At 39.8% G+C, this 19,127-nt stretch overlaps 1 protein-coding gene across 8 annotated transcripts in view, besides 1 other annotated feature; it reads left to right on the top strand.

Annotated features, from left to right (window-relative positions):
* Window positions 1–19,127, top strand: part of FHIT (fragile histidine triad diadenosine triphosphatase) — a 1,504,176-nt gene that overhangs the window by 189,361 nt on the left and 1,295,688 nt on the right. The window lies entirely within an intron of this gene.
* Window positions 5,361–5,655: a silencer, noted in NCBI's record as "tiled region #1919; K562 Repressive non-DNase unmatched - State 24:Quies". NCBI's record gives its function as "represses a minimal TATA promoter and a strong SV40 promoter by Sharpr-MPRA in K562 cells {active_cell/tissue: K562}" and the evidence as "EXISTENCE:reporter gene assay evidence [ECO:0000049][PMID:27701403]".

Below are 19,127 nucleotides of genomic sequence, written 5' to 3'. Positions count from 1 at the left end.
CCAAGTAGCTAAAGAGGTTCAATATAGTATTATATATAGTATTATATGTCTATACATTGAAATTACTCTGCAGCCATTAACAAGCATCTCTATGAATTGACATGAAAAGATGTCAAACATGTGACAGAACAGTATGTATTATAGAAACTTAGAAAAATATATGTCTGTATGCAAAAATGTACATGCCAAATTATTAATATAGGCTCCCTCAGGGAATGAAATTGTGTGGATATGAGGGTAGAGGGATGGGAAAAAGAAGAGGAGGCAAAATGTAATCTTTGATTTATATGCTTTTATACATGTTTTGCAATAACGTGTACCTTGTAATTATCATTTTATATTTGAGAGTTTGGAATGGAAACGTAGGGAGTTACAATATTCCTCCCGAGGGACAATGTCATGTGGAAGTTAAGAACACAAGCTCTAGAGCCATGATTTGCCTGGACTTGAATCCTGCCTGCATCATTGCTGAGCTGTGTGTTCAAGCAAGTCCATAGACTTAAAAATAGAATTAAATAAATAAATAAAAGTAGAATTAGATATTTAATTTAAATTTAATTAAAACAAATTTTAATTTAAATTTAATTAAAATAAATAAAATAGAATTAAAAATTTACCCTAGGCATCCAGAGTCTAGGGTTAGCAATTTATGAAAGGTGAAGATATTCTTTTGATATTAAATAACATATATATATTTAAAAAGTGAAACTTTGAGAGGAGACAAGTGACTGGATAGATAAAGATGAGAAACACAGAGGCACTTACCTGTAACCAAGGCACAAAGTCCACAGCCTTGAACTAAACATATATCACAACAGGAACACAAAACCAACCGACTGAAACTAGCAGATTGGGAGACTCAAAGGAGGGGGGAAAATGTTTCATAAACTTCAATCATCTCACTTCTTCCCAGCTAGTCTTCTAATTCTTCACCTTATCTGTTCTCTCCTGACAACAAGTCCTGTATTTAATTCAGATTTTATCTCTTTGTGGGACAGCTGATTCGACAATTATATATAGTTCATCAAAGGGCTGGAACATTCTGCAGAATAGTGAAACAAGTCACTTGGAAATGGGAAGACATGCTCAAGGATGAATGCATCAAAAGAAGCTACTATAAATGAATCAGTAGGAGTGAGGCAAAAACAATCATTTGGTAGAGAATGCTTAGGAAACCAGGGTAACTTGACCTCCAATCCTAAGACTTAATTGAGCTAAGGAACTGAGTGCTGCAGGATCATGCTCTGTGGTTGCTTAGATGAAAAGCCAGCCAGGCTGTAAGAACAGTGACTGATTGACATTGACAGCCTTCCATCTGGAGCTTAATCTGTCCGCATACATCTGTGACAGTGTTGTGTCTTTCAGAGCAGGTTCATGTAATACTGAAGGCCAAACATCAAGCAAGAAGCCAAAGTCTCAGTCATTAGTCACACATTTGGGCCATAGGGCAATTCCAGGACATTGCCTTTACTTGCAGCTGGAGAAGATATGATGGCCCATAATGTGGTACTTAATGAGGAGTACACACAGATGACAGGGCTAAACTGCAGCAGCAAGTTACTGCTAGGAAATAGCTCCAGCTTAGGGGAGTTTCCCTCTGTGCTTTTTCCCAGAAAGCTGCTGGCTTTCTTCTCTGAAACACAGATATGTCTCCTGATTGACTGTCGTCATAGTAGCTCATTATGGTTTTGGGTGGCAGCCTGTTCAGCTATAGTAAAGTACAGTAAGTCCTTACTTAATGTCATTGATAGGTTCCTGGAAACTGGGACATAAAGCAAAGCAACATATAACCAATTTCACCATAGACTAATTGATATAAATAAGAGTTAAGTTCCTATGGCATATTTCTGGTCACAACTATACCATCAAACTTCTAAATAGACCAAAACACTTTGAATATTTTACATTGAAATCTATGCGAACTATATACACATTTAAGAAAGAGTAATAAAAACAGGTAAGATAATTATTTATATTCCAGTTGAGGGTCTCGGATGGCTGCAGCATGTCCCAGCAGCTCAGGGTGCAAGGTGGGAACTCACCCTGGACAGGACATCATCCCATTGCAGGACCCACTCACCTACACACCTACACACACACACTCATACTCACTAAGATGGGGACCATGTAGACATGCCGGTTCACCTACCATGCTCATCTTTGGGATGTGGGAGAAAACTTGACTGCCCAGAGAAAACTCATGCAAGCATGGGGAGAATGTTCAGACCCTACATAGACAGGGGCCCCACTGGGAATCAATTTATTTTCTGTCGGTGTTATAACCAGATGGCATTGAATGAACTTTATAGCAATGCAAGAATGGGCTAATGCAAGAACGACGTTGAGGACCTGTAGTGCAGAGCTGCAAAGTGTTCAGGTTGTTCCCTGCCCTTGATGGCCTGATGACTAGTGTCTCCTTGCCTCAAAGACAATCATCAGTTGTTTTCTTTGAAGGAGGTTTGAGGGACCTGAAGTTTCCTTGAAACACTTAAGGTCTCCATTTCCTCCTACTTTAAAGAGAATATGTGGCCATTATTTACAAATGAAAATACTGCTCAGATGAGGTAATTTAAGAAGAGAATAAACTTTGGCAGACTCTCTTTTAAAAAAGCACAAGAATAGGTGTAACCAGACACCCCAAATTAACAGATTTTCTTCAGTTTATGGGTATTCAATTTATCTCACTGCTTTCTGGCAAAAAAAAAAAAAAAAAAAAAAAGGAAAAAGCAAAGAAAAAAAGCCACATTGAATTAAATGGCTTTCATTATCTGTCAAAAGCAAAGCATACACTTTTTTTGAGAATAAAATTCACATGTGAATTACTTTAGTTAGCTGTGGTCGATGGGATACTGTGTAAAATGTTGGACAGTGTTTTCAAATTGTTTCATTTACCATTTACGAAAGTTACTATAACTGTTCAAATGGACGATTTTAAAATTGACTTTCTATCTTAGCTAACAGCATAACAAATAGTAGCTTAGGGAAATGCTTAGTTGGGAGTGAAACATCCTCATTTTCTAGGGCCAGACATTGGGGAACCTGGAGGAATAAACAATTATGTGACCAGCAGTTCCCAGAGTTCCTCTTTACTGGACACAGAGGAAGGACACTTGTTTGGAGGAGTAGAGTCTTGTGGTGATTAAGAAGGTAGATTCTAGACTGGGACTACTTGACCTCAAATCCTGGCTGCATCATTTATGAGCTGTATGACCTTGAGCAAGTCCATCCTCTTCTCTGGACATTGTTTATTTGTAAAATAGGGACAATAATGGTACCTACCATGTAAGGTTGTTGGGTTATGCTCTTTCTGTAGACCCATCTGCATTAGTCCGTTCTTGCATTGCTATAAAGAACTACCTGAAACTGAGAAATTTATAAAGAAAAGAGGTTTAATTGACTCACATTCCACAGGCTGTAGAGGAAGCATGGCTGGAGAGGCCTCAGGTAGAAGGTGAAGAGGAAGGAGGCACCTCTTACATGGTGGGAGCAGGAGAAAGAGACTAAAGGGGGAAGTGCTGCACACTTTTAAACAACCAGATCTCACTCATTATTGCGAGAACAGCAAGGAGGAAGTCTGCCTCCATGATTCAGTCACATCCCACCAGGCCCCTCCTCCAACACTGAAGATTACAATTTGACATGAGATTTAGGCGTGGACACAAATCCAAACCATAGCACTATTCATATCTTTCCTCCTTAGGAACTATATTGGGGAGGGGAATGAATGAGAATGATGTTATCTTACCGACCATCTCAAATATACTTTACATGTATATAAATTATTGGAAACTATCATGGAATATGTAAAATGTGGAGACATCATCCAGGGCTGTAGAGTTGAGTAGAGCAGTTTGTTGTGCCATATGTGGAGACTCATGCTTATATAATCATAGACCTATAGCATCATAAAACTCATGGCTCACGTTTATGGAGAACTTATTACGTGCCAGGCAGTGTTCTAAGTGGTCTATGAGGATTATCTCAGTGAATCCTTTCAACAACTTTGTAATGTAGGTGTTGTTTTGTCTTTTTTTTTTCTGTGATATTAAAGAACTTGCTAGGTCTCAGAGCTAATCTCTGTTAGAGGTGATTCTTGAACTCTACCCAGTTTGATTTCAGATGCCAGCTCTCAGCTGCTACAGTGAGAAGTTTTGGAGGGTTCTGTGACCCAAGGAGCCTTCCTCACCAACTGCCTGAGCTTTTCAGATAGTCGTCTTAGCTCTTGTTTACATTTGTTGGCATAGAACAGTGTTGTGTTGTGAGAAAAACTTTTCCTTGCAGGTGAAATAATTTAGCTGGATTTGTTTTGCATTTTTAGTGACGCTTGACTCCTCATCTGGCTCTGTGTTTAATCTGCCACCCGAGTGCAGTGAACCTTTCATTATAGCTTCTTCACCCTCTCTCCCCCGCCACATACTTTCCACATTTAATGTTCCAATGGCCTGGGTGTTCTGAAGGAGAATTAACCAACATGTAACATAATTTATGGCCTTTACGTTCCTTGGTGTTCAGAGAATAATAAAAGTTACAGTCATTAGGTATATCTGATTTGTGATTTTTTTTTTCCTACCAAAGATATTCATCTCCCTTCTTTCCTGTACTTACTGTGTGTTTCATTGGAAACCATCCAGAGCTATCACCTGGTCATGGTTCTGGAAAACAAAGGCCTTTTCCACCACCAGCTTTCACTGTGACCAACCTTGAGTAACATATGGATGCCATTCCAAGGGAAAAAAAAGTCTTATGAACCCCCAATGTTAACTTAATGTTTTTGTTATTGGATTATTGAACCACATGAAAATACAAAAGTAGGTATGAATTTCTTTGTGTGGTTCTTAGACAAATATGAAACCATAACACGTTTACAAATTACATGCAATCAAAATGACAAAACTAAATTCAAATGAGGAATATTGCATTAACAAGATGAATGATATTATTTGTTTAAACAGAATCATCTCTGGAAACATCAATACGGGATGTCTGTTATGTCAAAGGTTCTACACAGCTTGTCATGTTTGTGTTAGCCTAGGCTGTGTGATGACTCAATTTCCCTAACACTTCCAGCTGCTATTACTGGGACAATTCATATGTACTCCACCCCTACTCTGAGATCATGAGGCACAAACACATTATTTAAGTAGTAAGTTTGTTTTTTTTATCTTTTGCTTGTGACAGCTAAAACAGCAATACCTGATACCACCACAATTATAAATGCAAACATAAAGGAGTCACAAAACTTTTGTGCTGGTACCCGTATTTTAGGTGCTATGTAGCTGATGCAGAATACACTTGAACTATTTTAAGTGAGTATTATCTAAATAAAACCAAAAATAAAAAGTCTCATCAAGAACATTCAGATCCCTAAGAACATGCTCAGAGACCCCAGTTTGAAAAAGGTGTGGGTCATCTGTCCTTCCTCTGTGGAGAGGATTGCTGTTCTCTGTTGGGAATGCACTTCCCAAGGCGTGTTACATGGCTCACTCTTTCGCTTCATTCAAGTCATTGTTCAGTGTCATTGACATGGGAAGGCCTCCCCTGACCACCTTGTCTGGGGTAGCACTCTCATCAGCTTCGCTTCTTACTCTGCCCTGTTTTTTCAGAGCACTCATTATAACCTGGCATTGTTGTTTGTTTGCTTTCACCTGTCTCCACAATTAGAATGTAAGCTGCATTGAGAATGGACTTAGGTTTATTTATGCCTCACACAGTAGGTGACAAAGATCTATTGAACCAAGGAATAAACACTCTTGCTCTTCAACCTCGCTTCCTTTTGGCTGGGTCCCTAATCCCAATCTTCACCTGGGTAAAGACTCATTTTTTTCCCTTTTTGTGGAGCATGGTGTCTTGCTATATTGCCCAGGCAGGTCTGAAACTCCTGGGCTCAAGCTATCCTCCCGCCTCTGCCTCCCTGAGAGCTGGGATTACAGGCGTGAGCCATCCCACCCAACAGGTAAAGACTCATTTTAAAAACTGTCCCCACTGAAAGATTAATGGATACAAAAAATAGTAAGAAAGAATAAATAAGACTTAGTATTTTCTAACACAACAGGGTGACTAGAGTGAAAAACAATTTATCTGTGCATTTTAGGATAATAACTAAAAGAGTTTAATTATTTGTAACACAAAGGATAAATGCTTGAGATGATGGAGACCGTACCCTGATGTGATTATTACACATTGCATGCCTATATCAAAATATCTCATGCAACCCATAAATATATACACTATGTATCCACAAAAATTAAAAATAAAACTTAAAAAAAATACCCCCACTTAAGCCTACATTCTCTCTGTCCCTCATTAGAACACCTAGAATCTGTATTGGGACTCCTTTTATGTCACTCATGGATTCCACCTCATGATATTTTTTCTTCACTTTTATCTCTTCTCCCAGATCCTGAGCTCCTTGAGGACACCATCTGTGTTTGATTAACCTTGAATTCCCCCAGTATCTGGCATGAATGCAGAAATGTGGTTATACATGGGAATCACCCAGAAACTGTAGAGTACTTGGTTCTAAATATCATTCACTTCTCTTCCACAGTATCTTGCAGAGGGGCTAGCACGTGGTTGGAGCTTGATGAGGGTCAGTGGATAGCATATGGTGAAAAACACTATAAGCTTTGGGAACTGAATTCTCTATGACTAACCTGATGTTAACACTACAGTAGGAGAAATTAAATTTATTTCAACTGAGTTTTTCTCATCTCTATTATGGACGAGACCCTAATTAGGCATTATTGTGGCTACAATGAGCACTGTATTACCTTTGAGTTCAAGTTTAGTGGAGAGGACAGATAGAGGTAGGGAGAGACAGACAGAGATAGTGTTTGTTCATTCATTCATCCATGCATTCTTTCTTCAGATATGGAGCATCATGTCCTTGCTACTAGATTTAGGAAAACTCAACACAGACCTTGTCTAAAGCCTAGCCCTAGTGGAAAAGAGACGCATCACAGATGCCTTTTTTTCCTGAAAAACAAACAAACAAACAAACAAAAGATACTAACAACAACTGTGGTTAGTGCAACAAAGGAAAGGAATGCAGAGGTATGCAAATGCACGTGTAATGTGCCCTGTTCCAAAGCAGGGAAGGTTCTCCTTGAGGTATAACGTTGAACTGAAACCCCAAGGATGAGTGGGCCCTAACCAGGGAGAGCAGCAGAGGAATAGCATGTACAAGGGGGTCTGAAAAGTAAGAATGTAATAGAGGGACCCCAAAGTGTCCCAGGGGTATAGGGTGTGAAAGAGTAATCCTGGCTATAGGTCTGGAAAGCTTCATAGAAGGAGGGTTTTGACTGGGCCAACAGGTCATTCTTAGGTACATGGAAGAGGAGGAGACAGCTGTCCATCCAGACCAGGAGACCAGTGTTCTCTTAGGCACAGAGGTAGAAATGTCTAGATCTGGCTTGGGAACTGTGCAGGGAAGGGAATGGCTAAATTGCAGGGTTTATACAGAACCTCTCTAGTAGAATAGTTATATTGATGAAATACAGAAATATCTGAAAACCATGAGTCACAAATCAAAAACATTGGTTGGTCAAAAACGAAAGCTTGTTATGTTTAAAATGTTACTGTGTATAAAGAATCAGCAAAGATAATTCTTAGCTGATGCTACTATTAACATTTCTATCAATTAAAGATCTTTATCATTAGCACTGTATGTCACCCTTTTAAAGTAATTTATCATATGGAATCACAGATGCCTTTTTTTCTGGAAAAAAAAAGAGATAATTTGTTACAAAAACATTACAAATTATATTGAGTTGACATCACTCAATTATAGCTACATTACTGAATTACACCTGTTCAGCCCAGAGCTGGGGAATTTATTAGCACAACCTCCATTAGAGCTAATGGGAAATACAGTTCCAGTGCTCTTTGAATCCACTGCATAATCTGTAAGAAGTGTTTTTCCTGTTGGGATTGTTCTCTGGCCTTGACAAGGTGAGCCATGAAGACTTCATTTCTTATGAAGTTTGGGGATACCACACCAGTGCTGTTTATTCACACAGGCTGTGACATCAGGGACTAGCTGGGCTGTGAGAGCCTGTTCAGACAGGTCTCTTCAAGCCTCTGGACAGATGACCCTGTCATCAGCTGCTCCTTTCCCAGCGCTTGCTTACCTGCATTTTAGTTTTCATTACCCAGCCATTATGCTCACTGCCCACAGTCACCTCTGCTTATTGATTTGGGACCTGTGCCAGTTTCTAATTGTTTCCTTTAGATTGGGTTCGCTCCAGATTGCTGATTCTTGTCTAGTAATTTCTCTCTTCCATATTGTGCCTTTCCTTGCCCTCCTTTACTAATTTCCTGAGTAGCCAGAGAAGCTATGGGTTTGACCCATCAACTCATACCAAGGCCATATGAGCTATGGTGACTTAAAAAAAATTAACTTGAAACTTTAAACACAATTTTTTTTTTCTTGAGACGGAGTTTTGCTCTTGTTGCCCAGGTTGCTGGAATGCAATGGCACGATCTAGGCTCACTGCAACCTCTGCCTCCTGGGTTCAAGTGATTCTCCTGCCTCAGCCTCTTGAGTAGCTGGGATTACAGCCATGCGCCACCACACCCGGCTAATTTTGTATTTTTGGTAGAGATGGGGTTTCTCCATGGTGGTCAGGCTGGTCTCAAATTCCTGACCTCAGGTGATCCACCTGCCTCGGCCTCCCAAAGTGTTGGGATTACAGGTGTGAGCCACCACACCCAGCCGAACACAATTTTTTTAAAAAGCCCCAAGAATCATTAACTTCTTCTCCCATCCTCTTTTTCTTTCCAGGACATTTTTTTTATGTATGTGAATGTATTGTGGGCATCATTCTTGTTATTTACCTGAGAACTTCTCAAGAGGCATGGCAGGTTGAAGAATTCCATGTGTCACCATATATTTGAGATCTCTTAAGTACATTTTTTAGTTTCCCAACAGCCACTCACTTTTCAGGGTGGATTTGGAAGAGAGTCCTTCCCTGCAGTGGATGGGAGGCGGGGGCACCTGGTGCTTCTAGTCCTCATTCCCTGGTTTCATTATTATTCATTGTTCCCTTGGTAAGGAAACATATTTCAAAGTTTCACATTTTCTGTTAATATTTATCAAAATACCACAGCAGTTGTATCATACAGCAGCAGAAAATTTCACAAGTTCTTTATTTTTGTTGACTTTGGAACCTATGTCTGATATCTTGATGAATCTTTATAGGAAAGAAGAAAATGCTAAAAGTCATCTTCATTTAAAAAAAAATAGATTAATTAACATCTAAAAGAATTACCAGCCTCTCAATAGGTGGAGGGATCTTGGAACCTTATTATAAATGTGTTCATTCTAAGCATGGATCTAACAATAAAGTGTAGTGCAGCACTACTCAAAGGGTGGTCCTTGTCCTGGTGCCAGTATGCAACAAAATAAGCATATAAATTGAGAGTAAGGATTTAGAAACTCGTGGGCAATAACAGCATAAATTTGTCTGTTGACTCCAATAACAACTTTTGACTTTTACTTTGAATGCCTTTATTCCCCAGTGATTCATTTTCATTGCACTTTGTAAAAGTATTGATCTGCGCTAGACTGCAGGTGGGTGTGGTTGGCAGGAACAATGCTGATCCTCCATCACAGTTCATTCATGTAACACTTGTGTATTTAGGTGAAAAACACAAGCCGCAAGCACCGATTTTTCATAGCCGTGGGTGTGAGTCCTGGATATGCTATTTACCGGCTGTCGAACTTGGGCCAGTTAGCAAGTCTTTCTAAAGGTCATACTCTCTATCCTGAAAATATAAGTAAGGTGGTACTGTTCTTTGCAGGGTTGCTGCTAGGATTAGTTGAGATGTTATAGGTACATCTGCAGAGTTACTGCATCAGGGTTCAGCCAACTTTGGCAGTCCTGGGAAGAACACGAGTGTGGTACTTGGTGCGTAATAAAATTTAATAAATGTTTACCATGATTTGCTTTTAAGTAGAATTTGTATATGCCTTATAGCCTCTCTGAGGGATATTGGGAAACAAAATTCAGTGGTAGCCTCATTTAGGTCACACATTTACAAACCTCTCTCAGGACATGGACTTGAAGGAAAAGTTTATGTTTAGGCTCCAACAAAAGTCTTTTCTCAAAGATTATATCTTTACTGGTTTTCTCCATCTTCTATCTTCTGATGGTGTGTGGAAATTACTAGAATATGTGTATAGAGAGCAGCTCCAGGGAACAGATGTGCATTCTTACTCATCATTAGATGCAGTGTAACTTTTGCCCTGCCTCATGAATTTTGACTCTACTTTGGAAAAATAGTCACACACAACTTCTTGATAGAGTTTCCAAAATTAGCTTCCAGAACTTTATACAGAAGGGCACGAGACTCCCCACATCTCTTTGCATGTGTTATATTTCTTTTTTGGCTTAAAATTTGCATATTTATTATTCATGCAACAAACATCTATCAGAAACATTTCCAGGGCCTGTCATTTGCCAACCCAGTGGTAGTTGCCGTAGCTTCTAGAAAAATGGAAGTATTTTAGCCAGTGAGATATGTCAGTCAAAATAACCCAAGAAGCCAGGGGTGGTGTCTCAGGCCTGTAATCCCAGAACTTTGGGAGGCTGAGGTGAGCAGATGGCTTGAGGCTAGAGTTCGAGATCAGCCTGGGCAACATGGTGAAGCCTCGTCTGTACCAAAAATACAAAAATTAGCCAGGTGTGGTGGCGCATGCCTGTAGTCCCAGCTATTTGGGAGGCTGAGGTGGAAGGATCATCTGAGCCTGGGGAGTGCCTGCCACTGCACTCCAGTCTGGACGAGGGATTGAGACCCTGTCTCAAAAACAAACAAACAAACAAACAAACAAACAAACAAACAGAGATAGTGGTACTTATGGAGCCAAAGCAGGAGATGCCTTGTAGGTATTCAGAAAATCTCATTGTCATAGACATTTTTATTATAACTTCATCTCCAGGTCTCTTTCTTCATAGATTTTTTTAACGCACATTTTTTTCACATTTTAATCTTTGAAATTGGGATATATGTCATAATTGATAGTCACTTATAATCACTTCAGATAGGTAGCAGTTGGGACAACTGTTGTTTGTCTGCACGTGTATGAGTATTGAAAGGGAAGCATCAAAACTCACAAAATAGGTGTCTATGGCTCGGAAGAAAATCCAAGGAATAGTATTGGAGCATTCTTAGAAGAAATATCTGTGCACTTGATGACACAAAGGAGGGCAATGTGCAGGCTGTAGTGATCTGCCCAGTTTCTCCCAGCTGGAAGTGAAAGGGCTGGTCCAACCAATGTCTGACTCCTATCTTGTGCCTTAAAAAACTGTATCTTGGAAAATTTCAAATATACACAAATGTAGAACTAATAGCATAATGAACACCCATGCGTGCATCATCCAGCTTTAATAATTATCAATATCTTGCCAATCTTACTTCCTCTGTCCCCATTTTATTTTTTCGTTCTTTCTTTTCTTTTGCTTGAGCGCATTAAAGCATATGCTGGATATCATATCTTGTCACCTGAAAATTCTTCAGTAGATATCTCTAACTGATAAGGGCCTTACCTCCTTTATTTAAATTCCATGCCATCATCACATTTAATGAAATTAATAATAATTCCTTAATATTTTCTAATATCCAGTCCATATTTGCATTTCCCTAATTGTTCTTTTGTTGATGGTTTTGTTCAAGTCAGAATCTAAAAGAGATTCACACATTGCATTGAATTGTTATGTTGCTTGTCTCCTTTTTTTTAATTAGTCCTCTTATCCCCTTCCTCTCAATAACTTTGATTTGTGAGAGAAACTGGATCATTTGCTCTATATTTTGAAGATGGCTGTTCGCTTTTTTGTGGCAGTGTTTAATTTATTTCTCTGTATGGGAAAAGAAATACCTTTTATTCCCATCCTAGTTTTATGATGGAAGCCGCTATAACAAAAGATAGATTTACAAGAGAAAAGCAAACCGATTTATTTAATATAAGTTTCATGTGACATGGGAGCCTTCATAAGGAAATGAAGGCCCAAAGAAATGGTTAAACCGTGTACTTTTTATGCTAGGTTTGATGAAGAGTGGGAAGAGGTGAAGTATGATTGGACATATGATTGGGAGTGTGATCTAATGGTAATAAACTGGGGGAGGGAACTTAGCAAGGCCTGTTTGTTCAGCTTCTTCTCTGTGTCCCTGTGTCTTCAGAGGTAAGGATGTTCCTTTCCTCCATGTATAAGGAGGGCACCTCTAAAATGGTCTTATGACCTGCTCCAGGGGACGCTCAAAAAAATCCTTCCATTGGTTCATGACCTGCTTCAGGAGAGAACGGCAGAAGGTGAGAGTGACCTTCCCGCTTCTGCTGTTTTCTTAAATACCAAGGTGTCATATTTTAGGAAAGCATGTCCTGAACCCAATCACCACTATAACCTGGTATTTAGTCTGGAGTCTTGGCTAGATTTTATAGAGATTTTTTAGGCAAGAATACTTCATAGATGGTGCTATGTATGTCCTATTTCATCACAGCATGAAGGAAATAATGATATATGTCCTTTTAGTGAAGATAACATGAGTTAGTTCATTCAGGTATTGTCAGACTGTTCTGTTACCAAGTTCCCTATCATGCTTACACTGATGGTTTTATGTCCACTCATAGTAGTTTCCTATATCTGGATATAGGTCTTATATCATTAGGGGATGCAAAATAGCAGTTTTCTAGTTGTGTCATTTCTCCTGCATTTATTCATGGAGATCTATAAAAAAACTTTTTCTTATCAACCATTTGGTTACTCTGATATACAGTTCACATAGGCAGGAAATTAATTGTTTATCATATTTTAATTTTTAATTAATGAATGAATGCCTAATAACTTCTATTTGGTAACATTGGTTACCAACTAGAAGTTATTAGGCATTCATTCATTAACGTCTAATGAGTTTTCATGCATGTGTCATTATGAAGTTATGGATTTTAAAAATATATATACATATATTTTAATTATGCTTTAAGTTCTACGGTACATGTGCCCAATGTGCAGGTTTGTTACATATGTATACATGTACCATGTTGATGTGCTGCACCCATTAACTCATCATTTAGCATTAGGTATATCTCCTAATGGTATCCCTCCCCACTCCCCCAACCCCACAACAGGCCCTGGTGTGTGATGTCCCCTGCCTTGTGTCCAAGTGATCACATTGTTCAATTCCTACCTATGAGTGAGAACATGCGGTTTTTGGTTTTCTGTCCTTGTGATAGTTTGCTGAAAATGATTGTTTCCAGCTTCATCCATGTCCCTACAAAGGACATGAACTCATCATTTTTTATGGCTGCATAGTATTCCATGGTGTATATGTGCCACATTTTCTTAATCCAGTCTATTGTTGGACATTTGGGTTGCTTCCAGGTCTTTGCTATTGTGAATCGTGCCGCAATAAACATACGTATGCATGTGTCTTTGTAGCAGCATGATTTATAATCCTTTGGGTATATACCCAGTAATAGGATGGCTGGGTCAAATGGTATTTCTAGTTCTAGATCCTTGAGGAATTGCCACACTGTCTTCCACAATGGTTGCACTAGTTTACAGTCCCACCAGCAGTGTAAAAGTGTTCCTATTTCTCCACATCCTCTCCAGCACCTGTTGTTTCCTGACTTTTTAATGATTGTCATTCTAACTGATGTGAGATGGTATCTCATTGTGGTTTTGATTTGCATTTCTCTGATGGCCAGTGATGATGAGCATTTTTTCATGTGTCTGTTGGCTGCATAAATGTCTTCTTTTGAGAACTGTCTGTTCATATCCTTCACCCACTTTTTGATGGGGTTGTTTGATTTTTTTCTTGTAAATTTGTTTAAGTTCTTGGAAGATTTCTGGATATTTGCCCTTTGTCAGATGGGTAGATTGCAAAAATTTTCTCCCATTCTGTAGGTTGCCTGTTCACTCTGATGGTGGTTTCTTTTGCTGTGCAGAAGCTCTTGAGTTTAATTAGATCCCATTTGTCAATTTTGGCTTTTGTTGCCATTGCTTTTGGTGTTTTAGACATGAAGTCCTTGCCCATGCCTATGTCCTGAATGGTATTGCCTAGGTTTTCTTCTAGGGTTTTTATGGTTTTAGGTCTAACATTTAAGTCTTTAATCCATCTTGAATTAACTTTTGTATAAGGTGTAAGGAAGGGATCCAGTTTCAGCTTTCTACATATGGCTAGCCAGTTTTCCCAGCACCATTTATTAAATAGGGAATCCTTTCCCCATTGCTTGTTTTTTCATGTTTGTCAAAGATCAGATGGTTGTAGATGTGTGGTATTATTTCTGAGGGCTCTGTTCTGTTCCATTGGTCTATATCTCTGTTTTGGTACCAGTATCATGCTGTTTGGGTAGCCTTGTGGTATAGTTTGAAGTCAGGTAGCGTGATGGCTCCAGCTTTGTTCTTTTGGCTTAGGATTGACTTAGCAATGTGGGCTCTTTTTTGGTTCCATATGAACTTTAAAGTAGTTTTTTCCAATCCTATGAAGAAAGTCATTGGTAGCTTGATGGGGATGGCATTGAATCTATAAATTACCTTGGGCAGTATAACCATTTTCATGATATTGATTCTTCCTATCCATGAGCATAGAATGTTCTTCCATTTGGTTGTGTCCTCTTTTATTTCGTTGAGCAGTGGTTTGTAGTTCTCCTTGAAGAGGTTCTTCACATCTTTTGTAAGTTGCATTCCTAGGCATTTTATTCTCTTTGAAGCAATTGAGAATGGGAGTTCACTCATGATTTGGCTCTCTGTTTGTCTGTTATTGCTGTATAGGAATGCTTGTGATTTTTGCACATTGATTTTGTATCCTGAGACTTTGCTGAAGTTGCCTATCAGCTTAAGGAGATTTTGGGCTGAGACGATGGGGTTTTCTAAATATACAATCATGTCATCTGCCAACAGCAACAATTGGACTTACTCTTTTCCTAATTGAATACCCTTTATTTCTTTCTATTGTCTGATTGCCCTGGCCAGAACTTCCAACAGGATTGGTGAAAGAGGGCATCCCTGTCTTGTGCCAGGTTTCAAAGGGAATGCTTCTAGCTTTTGCCCATTCGGTATGATATTGGCTGTGGGTTTGTCATAAATAGCTCTTATTATTTTGAGATACATCCCATCAATACCTAGTTTATTGAGAGTTTTTAGCATGAAGGCCTGTCAAATTTTTTCGAAGGCTTTTTCTGCGTCTAGTCAGATAATCATGTGGTTTTTGTCTTTGGTTCTGTTTATATGATGGATTACGTTTTTTGATTTGCATATGTTGAACCATCCTTGCATCCCAGGGATGAAGCCAACTTGATCGTGGTGGATAAGCTTTTTGATGTGCTGCTGGATTCAGTTTGCCAGTATTTTATGAAGGATTTTTGCATCGAAGTTCATCAGGGGTATTGGTCTAAAAGTCTCTTTTTTGTGTTGTGTCTCTGCCAGGCTTTGCTATCAGGATGATGCTGGCCTCATAAAATGAGTTAGGGATGATTCCCTCTTTCTCTATTGATTGGAATAGTTTCAGAAGCAACGGTACCAGGTCCTCTTTGTACCTCTGGTAGAATTCGGCTGTGAATCCATCTGGGTCCTGGACTTTTTTTGGTTGCTAGGCTATGAATTATTGCCTCAATTTCAGAGCCTGTTATTGGTCTATTCAGAGATTCAACTTCTTTTTGGTTTAGTCTTGGGAGGGTGTATGTGTCTAGGAATTTATCCATTTCTTCTAGAGTTTCTAGTTTATTTGCATAGAGGTGTTTATAGTACTCTCTGATGGTAGTTTGTATTTCTGTGGGATCGGTGGTGATATCCCTTTTATCATTTTTTATTGTGTCTATTTGATTCTTCTCTCTTTTCTTCTTTACCAGTCTTGCTAGCAGTCTATCAATTTTGTTGATCTTTTCTAAAAACCATCTCCTGGATTCATTGATTTTTTGAAGGGTTTTTTGCGTCTCTATCTCCTTCAGTTCTGCTCTGATCTTAGTCATTTCTTGCCTTCTGTTGGCTTTTGAATTTCTTTGCCCTTGCTTCTCTAGTTCTTTTAATTGTAATGTTAGGGTGTCAACTTTAGGTTTTTCCTGTTTTCTCTTGTGGGCATTTAGTGCTATAAATTTCCCTCTACACACTACTTTGAATGTGTCCCAGAGATTCTAGTATGTTGCGTCTTTGTTCTCGTTGGTTTCAAAGAACATCTTTATTTCTGCCTTCATTTCGTTATGTGCCCAGTAGTCATTTAGGAGCAGGTTGTTCAGTTTCCATGTAGTTGAGTGGTTTTGAGTGAGTTTCTTGATTATGATTTCTAGTTTGCTTGCACTGTGGTCTGAGAGACAGTTTGTTATAATTTCTGTTCTTTTACATTTGCTGAGGAGTGCTTTACTTCCAACTATGTGGTCAGTTTTGGAATAAGTACGATGTGGTGCTGAGAAGAAAGTATATTTTGTTGATTTGGGGTGGAGAGTTCTGTAGATGTCTATTAGGTCCACTTGGTTCAGAGCTGAGTTCTATTCCTGGATATCCTTGTTAACTTTCTGCCTTGTTGATCTGTCTAATGTTGACAGTGGGGTATTAAAGCCTCCCATTATTATTGTGTGGGAGTCTAAGTCTCTTTTTAAGTCTCTAAGGTCTTGCTTTATGAATCTGGGTGCTCCTATATTGGGTGCATATATATTTAGGATAGTTAGCTCTTCTTGTTGAATTGATCCCTTTACCATTATGTAACGGCCTTCTTTGTCTCTTTGATCTTTGTTGGTTTAAAGTCTGTTTTATCAGAGACTAGGATTGCAAGCCCTGCCTTTTTTGTTTGTTTGTTTTCCTTTTGCTTGGTAGATCTTCCTCCATCCCTTTATTTTGAGCCTGTGTGTGTCTCTGCATGTTAGATGGGTCTCCTGAATAGAGCACACTGATGAGTCTTGACTCTTTACCCAATTTGCCAGTCTGTGTCTTTTAATTGGAGCATTTAGCCCATTTACATTTAAGGTTAATATTGTTATGTGTGTATTTAATCCTGTCATTTTGATGTTAGCTGGTTATTTGGCTTCTTAGTTGATGCAGTTTCTTCCTAGTATTGATGGTCTTTATAGTGTGGCATGTTTTTGCAGTGGCTGGTACTGGTTGTTCCTTTCCATGTTTAGTGCTTCCTTCAGGAGCTCTTGTAAGGCAGGCCTGGTGGTGGCTAAATCTCTCAGTATTGGCTTGTCTGTAAAGGATTTTATTTCTCCTTCACTTGTGAAGATTAGTTTGGCTAGTTATGAAATTCTGGGTTGAAAATTCTTTTCTTTAAGAATGCTGGATATTGGCCTCCACTCTCTTCTGGCTTCTAGAGTTTCTGCTGAGAGATCCGCTGTTAGTCTGATGTGCTTCCCTTTGTGGGTAACCGGACCTTTCTCTCTGGCTGCCCTTAATATTTTTTCCTTCATTTCAACTTTGGTGAATCTGACAATTATGTGTCTTGGATTTGCTCTTCTCGAGGAGTATCTTTGTGGCGTCTCTGTATTTCCTGAATTTGAATTTTGGCCTGCATTGCTAGATTGGGGAAGTTCTCCTGGATAATATCCTGCAGAGTGTTTTCCAACTTGGTTCCATTCTCCTCATCACTTTCAGGTACACCAATCAGATGTAGATTTGGTCTTTTCACATAGTCCCGTATTACTTGGAGGCTTTGTTCATCTCTTTTTACTCTTTTTTCTCTAAACTTCTCTTCTCACTTCATTTCATTCATTTGGTCTTCAATCAGTGATACCCTTTCTTCCACTTGATCGAATTGGCTACCGAAACTTGTGCATGTGTCATGTAGTTCTTGAGCCATGGTTTTCAGCTCCACCAGGTCATTTAAGGACTTCTCTACACTGGTTATTCTAGTTAGCCATTCATGTAATCTTTTTTCAAGGTTTTTAGCTTCTTTGTGATGGGTTCGAACATCCTCCTTTAGCTTGGAGAAGTTTGTTACTAACAATCGTCTGAAGCCTTCTCTCAACTCGTCAAATTCATTCTCCATCCAGCTTTGTTCCCTTGCTGGCGAGCAGCTGCGTTCCTTTCGAGGAGAAGAGGCGCTCTGATTTTTAGAATTTTCAGCTTTTCTACTCTGGTTTCTCCCCATCTTTGTGGTTTTATGTACCTTTGGTCTTTGATGATGGTGACGTCCAGATGGGGTTTTGGTGTGGATGTCCTTTCTGTTTGTTAGTTTTCCTTCCAACAGTTAGGATCCTCAGCTGCAGGTCTTTTGGAGTTTGCTGGAGGTCCACTCCAGACCCTGTTTGCCTGGGTATCACCTGTGGAGGCTGCAGAACAGCAAATATTGCAGAATGGCAAATGTTGCTGCCTGATCCTTCCTCTGAAAGCTTTGTCTCAGAGGGGTACTTGGCTGTGTGAGGTGTCAGTCGGCCCCTACTGGGAGGTATCTCCCAGTTAGGCTACTTGGGTCTCAGGGACCCACTTGAAGAGGCAGTCTGTCCATTCTCAGATGTCAAACTCCATGGTGGGAGAACCACTGCTCTCTTCAAAGCTGTCAGACAGGGACGTTTAAGTCTGCAGAAGTTTCTGCTGCCTTTTGTTCAGCTGTGCCCTGCCCCCAGAGGTGGAGACTACAGAGGCAGGCAGGCAGGCCTCCTTGAGCTGCGGTGGGCTCCACCCAGTTTGAGTTTCTGGGCCTCTTTGTTTTCCTACTCAAGCCTCAGCAATGATGGATGCCCCTCCCCCAGCCTCACTGCTGCTTTGCAGTTCGATCTCAGACTGCTGTGCTAACAGAGAGCAAGGCTCCGTGGGCGTGGGACCCTCCGAGCTAGGCGTGGGACCCTCCGAGCTAGGCGCGGGATATAATCTCCTGGTGTGCCATTTGCTAAGACAGTTGGAAAAGTGCTGTATTAGGGTGGGGTTGTTATGATTTTCCAGGTACCATTTGTCACAGCTTCCCTTGGCTAGGAAACGGAATTCCCTGACCCCTTGCACTGCCTGGGTGAGGCAATGCCTGCCCTGCTTTGGCTCACACTCCATGGGGTGCACCCACTGTCCAACAAGCCCCAGTGAGATGAACCCGGTACCTCAGTTGGAAATGCAGAAATCACCTGTCTTCTGCGTCACTCAAGCTGGGAGCTGTAGACAGGAGTTGTTCCTATTCGGCCATCTTGGAACCTCTCCCTGTTGTTCTAAAAAAAA

The sequence above is a fragment of the Homo sapiens genome, chromosome 3 (assembly GCF_000001405.40).
Source record: "Homo sapiens chromosome 3, GRCh38.p14 Primary Assembly".
NCBI classification, from domain to species: Eukaryota; Metazoa; Chordata; class Mammalia; order Primates; family Hominidae; genus Homo; species Homo sapiens.
The sequence above is the reverse complement of the archived record's forward strand: the minus strand, read 5'-3'. Positions and strand labels throughout refer to the sequence as shown.